The sequence below is a fragment of the Homo sapiens genome, chromosome 3, assembly GCF_000001405.40.
Source record: "Homo sapiens chromosome 3, GRCh38.p14 Primary Assembly".
NCBI lineage: Eukaryota > Metazoa > Chordata > Mammalia > Primates > Hominidae > Homo > Homo sapiens.
In genome coordinates this window covers 64340961-64351244 of record NC_000003.12, presented here as the reverse complement: position 1 = coordinate 64351244, position 10284 = coordinate 64340961, and the positions used below count along the sequence as shown (strand labels likewise).

Below are 10284 nucleotides of genomic sequence, written 5' to 3'. Positions count from 1 at the left end.
GAGCATATTCAAAGCAAGGTTTCACTCTGGCCTTGGAAGGAAATGAATCATGCTTATTCCTTGAATGCTTTTTTTTTTTTTTTTTTTTTAAGGCAGAGTTTCACTCTTGTTGCCCAGGCTGGAGTGCAATGGTGCAATCTCGGCTCACCACAACCTCCACCTCCCGGATTCAAGCAATTCTCCTGCCTCAGCCTCCCAAGTAGCTGGGATTACAGGCATGCACCACCACGCCTGCCTAATTTTGTATATTTAGTAGAGACGGGGTTTCTCCGTGTTGGTCAGGCTGGTCTTGAACTCCTGACCTCAGGTGATCTGCCCACCTTAGCCTCCCAAAGTGCTGGGATTACAGGCATGAGCCACCATGCCCAGCTTTTTTTTTTTTTTTCCTTTTCTTTTCCTTTTTTTTTTTTTTTTTTTTTTAAGTTTCACTAGCTTTGTGAAATGCCAAACAAAATGAATCAGATAGATCCTTTGGTAGGAAAGTAAACTCTCTCTACGTAGCTCAAGAGAAAAATTAATTGAGTTATTGAGAATAAATATCTTTCTGTACCTAAATCTTTGTGCTTCTATTTCTTGGTCTATCAATGATGAAGGCTTTCAATGGAGAATTTCCTAAGGCAAGGTTCCTCAATCTCAGCACTTTTGACCTTTTTGACTGGAGAATTCCTTGTTGTGGGGCCCCTCCTGTACATTGCAGGATGTTTAGAGCATCCCTGGCTTCTAACCTCTAGGTGCCAGTAGCACCACCCACTTTCCTCATGCAACACCCAAACATATCTTCAGATGTCCCTAAATGTCTCCTGGGGTGCAAAATTGCCCCTGGTTGAGAACCACCATATTAACGTCCCACTAGTTCTCTTTTGGAACTTGGGTCCTGACGCTTCCATAGCAGGCCATTGTGACCTTGGGCATCTCATAACCCCTCTCAGCTTTGGTTTCCTCATCTGCATTCAGAAGGGCATGCTAGTCCCTTCCTGTAGGATGAGTGAGAGAACGAAATGAGAAAGCCTAATTAAATTACGGTGGATGTTACATATAAGTATAGATATTTTACAGTTCATTTCCTTCCAGCTCCAAAATTCAACAATTCTAATCATAATTATAGTTCTTAGTTTCACTCCAGATGCTAACATATGTATGTGATAAATCAATTTATGTTTCTATAGAAGACAACTCCTGGGAATGAAATTGCGAGTAATTTTTCTCCTTTTTCTTTTTTTTTTTTTTTTTTTTGCTGAATTTATATATTCCTTTCTTTTTCTTCTAACAATTACAGAAAAGTCCTTCATATTATTTAGTATGAAGGATTGCTTCAAAGATCAAGGCCAACTCCTTTGAATATCCACTAGCAGTCGAGGAGGAAATGAGTTTAAATAAGCTCCTGGGATTTAAGTTAGATATAAGAAGGAACTTTCACACAAAGCTATCAAACAGTGAGAGTTCATTGCCAGGGCAGATGAGAGAATCGCCTTTCTTGGAGACTGGTAAAACCTAGAAAGCCGTTCATCTGGAACGGTCTGGAGTAAGACTTCTAAATTTGGGAAGCATTCTAAACCTTGCCCTTTTACCCTTGAATAATCTGTGAAGCTCCAATCCCTCTCAGCTTCTAAGAAAGATTCTGGAACAATTTGATGAGTGTGTTTTGTTCTTCCTTGGTGGTTTTACCCCTCTTCCCCCTCCCCGTCGTCACATGCTAAAAGCAGAATCTGAGAAACAGTTGGCTGAATTTTAGCACCTAAGACCTCGACAAAGGCAAAAACAAAAGCAAGAAATAATGATTCCTTAGTTGTCACCAATTAAATGTATTTTGAATGTAATTTTTTAATTACTGGAGACCTGGCCAGGCAGAGATTCATGGTTCTTCAACAGCAGAGCACACCTGAATCACCCCTGCAGCTTCTTAAAAAAAGATGAGTACTTGTGCCCTAACTCTGGATTTCGAATTCAGGAAGCCTGAGGAGGTGCCAGGTAACTGTGCCAAACACACACACACACACACGCACACACACACACACACACATACAGTTCTCATCTCAGACCTGACACTTCAAAGCATGGACTTTGAAGTATCTCTCTCCATCTGTGAAATGATGATAATGATAGTACCAACCACACAGAGCTGTTGAGATGGTGGCATAATTCAAACCTTGTGCTTAGCACAGAGCCCAGCGTAGATGCGGCTTCAGTTTCCATTAGCTGATGTTGCCATTTTCATCGTCGCCACCTCTGTCCTAGAAACCTTGGGCTGTTCTTGACTCCTTGTTTTGTCTATTTCTTCCTAATTATCCAATCTACTGGCCAAATCCAGATGATTTCAAATTTTCTTCAGTTTTTCTATAGCCTACCCCTCCTTTTTTGTATTCTCACCTCTCTGGCTCATGCCACTATCCATCTTGCCTAGACAACAATCAGCCTCTTCACTGATCTTGTTGCTTCTCCCCTTCCTGACTTTTCTCCGAGGTGCAGCCAGAGTGATTTTTTTTTATTGTGTTTTATTTTTTTGAGACAGAGTCTCACTCTGTTTCCCAGGCTGGAGTGCAGTGGCATGATCTCGGCTCACTGCAACCTCCGCCTCCCGGGTTTAAGTGATTCTTCTGCCTCAGCCTCCAAAGTAGCTGGGACTACAGGCACGCACCACCACGCCCGGCTAATTTTTGTATTTTTAGTAGAGACGGGGTTTTTGCCATATTGGCCAGGCTAGTCTTGAAATCCTGACCTCGTGATCCACCAGCCTCGGCCTGCCAAAGTGCTGGGATTACAGGCGTGAGCCACCGCGCCCAGCCCAGAGTGATCTTTCAAATGTACATTGGGTGCTACTCCCTGGCTTAAAATGCTTTATTGCATTTAGGGTAAAACGAACTTCTTCCCACGGTGGCCCTGCCTGCTGTGATCCTATAGGCGTCACCTCATGCCACTTTCTTCCCTGCTCCCTGTGTTTGAGCCACAGTGATCTCTGGGCATATTGGGCTGTACTTCAATTAGGCTGGGTTCTTTTCTGCCTCAAGACCTTTGCACAGTGCTCCCTCTGTATATCCCCAGCTCTTTATGTTGGCAACTTCTTCTTACTTCAGGTCTCAAGCATTAGAGAGGCCTTACCTGACCACAACCATCCAAGTCTGTATATTACTTCTAATCGATATCTTATTCTTTCATAGCACAATGCGCTTTGTGATTATTTTGTTTGTTGGCTTACTTGTGTTTTGTCTCACTCTCTTGCCATAATGTAAAAAACATGCAGGCAGCGACCATCTTTGTTTTATTCACCAACCTGTCTCCAGCAGCTAGTTCAAGTGCCTAACACCATAGCTTATGCTTAGGAAATATTTATGGGATGAGAATGAATGAATGACAAATGAATGGGTGACTGAGTTTATGTTTTTTATTATCCATTCATTTATCCGCAGACATTTGTTGAATAGCTCCTATAGACAGGACATAAGCTGAGAACCCAAAGAGGAGAAGGGATGATGTTATTTAGGATGCATGTGAGTGTTTTAATTTTCCCAGAGCACTTGGACTGATTTTACTTTTTGGACACAGCAAGTTGTGTAATTGTATAATTTTTCCTTTTCCACATTGGCTGCTACAAACTTAGAACCAAATTTGTGGCCCATACGTCTTCTTGGTATGCAATTTAGCCTCATTCTTGGACCCATTTCATGTTCCCGTCCTCGTTTTTCTTTTCCTTTTGTTCCTATTTTTAATTTATGCCATCTTGTATTTTTTATATCCTTATAAGCTGCCTTAAATTCTCCCTGAAACAAGACAAAGTATCAATCAATCAATATATTAAAATGTGAAGAGAAGGGCTTTATGAGAGGTATAAATAAAGTGCTTCTTGCATGAAAGAGGAAGATATTTCCCACAGCTTCTGTAACCCTAGGGAGCAGGGAGGAGAGGTGAGAGCCTTCTCCAGGGGAGACCCAAACACTTAGTAGGCACAGGAAATATGAATTCAATTGAGAATTTAATTCGAGTAACTGGTTATTTTGCCTGTTTTGACTGCACACTGGAGCTCTAGACTTCATGCTGTTTTTTCCCATTATCGTCTTTCTTTAGAAGTACCATATAATTTTCAAAATAATCAGGAGTCATCCACTCTACTTTCTCGGAAGGGCTCACACAAGCTTTCACATAACTCTGTATCTTACTGAATTCTCAGCTGACCAAGGCTGTGATTGATGTGTGCCAGAGTTTGCTGGTTCTCCTCTTCTGTCTGTTGTTGCATTTGTTTAAGGGGCATTCTGATTCAGAAGTGGATAGTGAGGAGAATCCAACACCTTTTCTGGATTTGGAGGGCTTTGTAGACAAAATGCCTGTTACCATGGTGAGCTCACCCTTCTCATGGCTCTAAATCCTCCATGTGCCCCCAACTCCCAGATTTGTACCTCCCTGAACTCAGACTTGCATAGTCAGTGGCTGCCTCATTGTCTCCTCTTCGTTGGCTACCAGACATCTCAAGCTTAACAGGGCCAAAGTTGGACTCCTGGTCTTCTCCCCAAATCCCATCCCAACCATAGAAATTGATGACAATTCCATTTATCTCATTTTTCTCAGGCCAAAAACTTTGGGGTCACTTTTGACTCTTCTCTTGCTCTTGCACCTCACACTCAGTTCACCAGGAAGTGCTGTTGGCTCTACCCTTAAAATATATACAGACTCTGACCATCTCCCACCACTTCCATTGCTACCACCCTGATTGTGGTCACTGTCATCTCTTGCCTGGATTCCAGCAACAGCATTCCTTCTATCCCAGCCCCCAGAGGGGTCCTTGGAAAGCATGTCAGGTCTCTAATCAAAACCCTCCAGTGGCTCCCCCGTCTCCCTCAGTCATCATGTGATCAACAGCTCCTTTCTTCACCCCCAGTTTCTTTCATTTCTCATCTAGTACTGTACTCTCTCAGGCCCACTGTGCTCCAGCCACACCGGGCTGTTCGTAGTTCCTGGAGCATGCCCCTGCCACAGGACCTTTGCACCAGCTGTTCCTTTTGCCTAGAATGCCTTCACTTCCTTCAAGTCGTTCCCTGGTCTACTTTGACAATCTATTTAAAATTTAACACTCTTTCCCCGGTGTGCTCAATTCCCCCAGTGTACTGCTTTTCTTTATGCAGAGTACTTACTACATTCTAATATATTTAGCATTTACTTATTTTTTGTTTGTCTGCCCCTGCTAAATATAGTCACTCCCTCCCTCACGAAATGCAAGGTCAGGAATCTTTTTGTGTTAACTGATGTATCCCAAGGACCTAGAACAGAGCCTGGCAGATAGTGGGTTCTCAGTAATCCTTACTGAATTAATGAGTGAAGCATCATGTCTTCTCAAGTGAGAGTGATTTTAATCTCTTATTCTCATTTAACCTGGTGCACTATCCTGCTTTAGGAGGCACTCTATAAGGTTTTAATTACATGATGAGGCTGGGGCAAATTCCTCCTAAATAAATTGTGACTTAACAGCACCTTCATGTGAACCTCGCATAATTCTTTAGTAATTTCTCTTCTTGAGCCTCCTGGATCCATCTGGAAATCATTCCAACAAACATCCATCCTATATAATAGATCACTATTTTCCTTTTTAATATGATTCTGGCTCCCCAGAGCCTGCAGTCAGCGTCAAGTTGGATTTCTTATCTCTGTTGCTTCATTAAGAGTGTACATATTTGGTTGCCAATGCTACGGTCCTCCACAGTGCAGTTTGTTGCAACAAAAGAAAGTGTTTGCCAAATGATTTGTCAGCATATGTTATAAAGCCACACAGGCACTCTTTATATAACTGGAAAATACTGATCCCAATTAGTGACAGATGAAAGACCAAGAGGGAAAGGCTGTGTTGCTTTATTCAAAGGAACTTAAGGGGTTCATGCAAAGGTGTAGGGGTGGGGTGGAGAGGAAGAGGGAAAGAGAGGCAGAGAATAGAAAAGGAGCAGATTGTGGGTGATGGAATAACATTTTGGAACCAAGGAAACGGGGATTTAGCATCATAGGTGCCAGTTATCTGTCTTCTTGACTCCTAGCATTCTTCAAGGTAATAACCTTTCCAGGCCAACTGGTCTTATGCATTAGCTCTTTGGAAGACAAACATTCTTGGGCTTTCTGAAATGCCAGTGATTGGAGCTGACCTCCCCAGGAGCAGGAGCTCAGCCTTTGTGTCATGCTGAGCCCCCAGGTGGGTTGGTGAGCTGTGATGCATGCACAGTTGGGGAAGGAGGCCCTAACTCCTGAGCTTGGCAGCCATTTGTGAACTCAGCAGCTTGTAATCCTTCCTGCCTTTGGAAGTGACTCACCTACACATCGGGAGAGCATGTTAGGCGAGCCTGGCCTCTTCTCCGAGAATAAATATTTGACCTGTTGATGTTCTCCAGGCGTCTTCCTAATTAGGAAACTCAGACAGATCTCTAAGAACAAAACCAAACATGGCTTCCCATTGCAGGGCAAAGCCCCTTTCACTTGTGTTAAATACCAAAGCCTGCAGCATACAGATTGTTGGTGTCTCAAAGGCATCTTTTAGGCTCATCTCCTGTGAAAAAATGTAACAGTGGCATTTTCATTTGCTTCCACTGGGAAAAGAGAACTTCCCGTATCAAGACCAAATGTTTATCGGGTAAAAAGTTTCCTTTGTTTACCATTCTTTGGACAATGTCTGCCTGTAGTTGTAGATGCTTGCAGGACAGACAAATATATCTTTTCAGGTGGTGAGGTAGCTGACCTCTAAATTAATTGACCCATGAGGGATGATGCTTTTTTCTAACACTTTGCATGCCTGGGGGTGCTGTAAAAATAGCCTCTTGTTCACGCTGAAGCTCCCTGGAAGGTTTTTAAATTGAGTGAACTGAAGAATTTACAATAGTTAGGTCATGGAGGGGGTTTTTTAATTGTATGATGTAGCTGAGAAGATATCTGTAAGAGGAACTCAGACATCTGAATCACAGACTAAATGGGACACTCAATGTGCTCATCTTGTCATGTGTGGTTTGGGGTTCAGACTCCTCTACTTCAAGTTACTGTTCTTTAGCCAGCAGTTTCCTCTGGATGAAAACCAGCCTTCCCCCCACTCTCCCTGTCATGTCAACAGGAAGATATTTTACATTAAGAAAAGATTCCTGGGAAATGAAGAAAGAGAGCTGGGAGTTGGGCTGAAAAACTGCAAACGGTTCTTGAATCAAGTGATTTTTGTCTTTCTGTCTGGTTGGCAAGGTGACTTCACCCACATCCCACTCACACATTCATCCGAGAGTAAGTCCAAGCTAAGGATACAAAAGGCAGTCTGTGGCAACACGTTCCATAGAACAGCTACGATGAACATTAAACATGTTTAATTATCAGCCCAGATGTATATCCTGTGTGTTGGATAGCGCAAATCTAGCAGAGGAGGGATGAGAAACAGGCTCTTCTCCATGGTTAATAATGTCATATCTATCTTTGGGTAGCATCTGATTACAACCGTGTCTATTATTTAAAAGGTTCTTTAAAAAAACATGACCACAGGGGAAAATGGAGTGGCTGTTCTCTTCCTGCCGTCTGCAGATTATGTTTTAATCATGCCGCATCTAAAGATGCAGCGTTTTCTCATGAAATTTGTCAAAACTAATAAGGCGATTTTCTAACCTATGGTAACCCCACTTAAGTAATTTATGTAATTACTTAGGACAACCCAGGCCTGCTCTAGGTTTTTAGGCCATGTTATTCTTTTTCTTTATTCCCTTCAAGACCTACTTGGGATGAACCAATACCCCTAGGTTAAGCACTTCCACTCGAATCTTGTAAATGTATGTGCAGCTGCATTTTCAAGGGATGAAAACATTGCTGTTTAGACGTTAGGTTCATTTATATAGAAGGAGATTTTAATGAGAACAGCTTAGAGGGCATGATACTTTTAGGGTCTGGGGAGAGAGTTAAATGAGAGAGAAGCAAGACCTCCTTGAAGCTGCCATAGTCCTAGAAATCTAGACTACTAAGCTGTGAAGGTATTTAGCCAAGCCTGGGGTGGTGGAGGGGCAGGGGGGCAGAGGGTTGTTGGGGGAGCTTGCAGGGAAGAAAGCATTCTTGTCAGACTGTACTCTGTGGAAGCCTGGGGCCCTACATGTTCCCTGAATGGGTAATGACTCATGGTGGCATACCAAAACTCAAAGCAAGGGTCAGCAAACTGTAGCCCGTTTTTGTAAATAAAGTTTCATTGGAACACAGCCATGTGATTTGTTTCATTATCATATGTGGCAGCTATTGCGTTACAGTGGCAGGACTGAGTAGTTGTAACAGAGACCATATGACCTCCAGAGTTAAAAAGATTTACTATCTGACCCTGAAAAGAAAGAGTTTGCTAACCCTTGAACTAAAAGGCTGGATTTTCAACTTATAGGCCACAATTTCCCAAGGGCATCCATTGATGGGCATCAGTGTAATGAATCTCCTGAAGTTATATGCAGAATATTTTATATGTGCACATGCCCACATAGGATTTTCTGGCGAGAGAGTGCATGGATTATAATAGGTTTTCCAACGTGTCTATGATCCTAAGATGAAGATCCTTAACTTGAAAGGATATGCAAATTTTACCCCAGTTTACACTCTTGACTTCTGCTTTCCCTTGTATTCTTTTTTTATCCTAAACTCTTTAGGATCCTGCTAAGTAATTGGTCTGAAAAATAAATTATATCTGAAGTCTAACAGGAAAGTATTTTATTCCATAAGAACAGTTTTATCTTAACCAGGGCCTTTCATGCTAGAACCTTAAGGTGTATGTTATAGGGACAGCATGAGAAACTAGATCACGGATGGGGTGGGAGAGGGGGCTGCATGGCCAGGAAACTGCTGGCTGGAGGGGTGTGGAAGTTTGCATCCTGCCTAAGGAGACAGTAAGGGCAGTTATCTTCCTGGACAAATAAGGACATAAAACCATAACAGTAGCTTCTTTTTAACAATGTGTAAGGCAATATGCTGAGCATGTTATATGAAATATCTGACTTCATGCTCAACATCCCAGCAAATGGATGTCTGTAATATTAGAACAGTGGCCAGCACAAAGTATGCACAATGTAATTGTTAGTGATTATCCTTTATCATCCTCAGCCTCACCATTCCCATTTATCATTTGAGGAAATTGAGGCTCAGACTTGTTCAAGATTTCCCAGCACCTAAATAACAAAGGAGGAACTGGAAGTTGGGTCTGTCAGTTTCAGAGAAACTGGAAGCCAAGTCTGTTCAATTCCAAAGTTTTCACCTTTTAAAAAACCCTATTCTGACCAACTCCACATACCCCAGTATGTGAGTCCTCTTTCAAAAGGCACCCAGAAAGGCTCCTGTGATAGTGGTGTTAAGAGACACATCTTCTCCCACATTTCCACCTTATCTCACTTCCTTGAGAACCTTACCTTGAGTATCTTGGTTCCAAACCAGTGGGTCTCAAGCCTCGCTGTCCATCAATGTCACCTCGGACAGATTCTCAGTTACCATGCCAGGACCTTCTGCATCAAAACCTCTGGGGGCGGGCCCTGGAAATCTGTGTATTTCATAAACCTCAGTGGGTAGTTATGTTCTGGCCAGCCAAGCATTGGTCCATCAGCTGCCACTTGGACATCCCTATTCTAGATGCCACCTAGACTCTGGCCATGTAAGGCCATGGGGGTGAGGGTGGGAGTGTGTAACTGCTGCTAAGAGCTGACTGCTTGAACCAAGGTGACTCACCCCCCTTTTGGAAACAGGCAAGATGTTCCCTCTTTGCAGTTGGGTCCTCCTGTCCAAACAGAGCCAGCAGTCTGTGGGTGGTCCCAGGCATGCAGGAGGGCTCCCTTCTGGCAGAGCCAAGAAAGAACAGGCTGAGATGCAGTTGGTTCTTAGGAAAGGAATAGAGAAAGGTGGGGGTGGTTGGCCCAGAAACAGCAGGATTAGGAAGTCATTCGGAACTCCAACTGGAGCTGGAGGAGGAAGAATTTTTGTTTTTTCCTTTAGGCCTCATTTTAAGGTCTTTACTACATCTTCATTTAATTCATAAGAGCCATGGAAGTTTAGAACTGTCCTGAAAAAAAAAAAAAAAGAGAGAAAGTAAAGAAACGCACATTATAACAAATTATAGCCCTGTAGTTTAAATCCTCGCAGGTCTAAATTACGTACTGACTGAAAAAATGAGAGGAGAAGTCCACGGGGTTGGAAATGGCTGTGGAACACAGCAGGCGAGCTTGCCAGATTCTCCATGAGAAATCTGCACCCCTCTCAAAACAATTAGAGCAAGTTGCTCTGTGTGTGCGTGTTTGTGTATGTACGTATTTGCTAGTCTGCACTGGTCTTTTGCGG

General features: G+C 42.8%; 1 annotated feature.

Annotated features, from left to right (window-relative positions):
- Nucleotides 5859-6440: an enhancer, noted in NCBI's record as "OCT4-NANOG-H3K27ac-H3K4me1 hESC enhancer chr3:64330481-64331062 (GRCh37/hg19 assembly coordinates)". NCBI's record gives its function as "activates a minimal SCP1, AML or CMV promoter by ChIP-STARR-seq in naive H9 embryonic stem cells {active_cell/tissue: H9 hESC(naive)}" and the evidence as "EXISTENCE:reporter gene assay evidence [ECO:0000049][PMID:30033119]".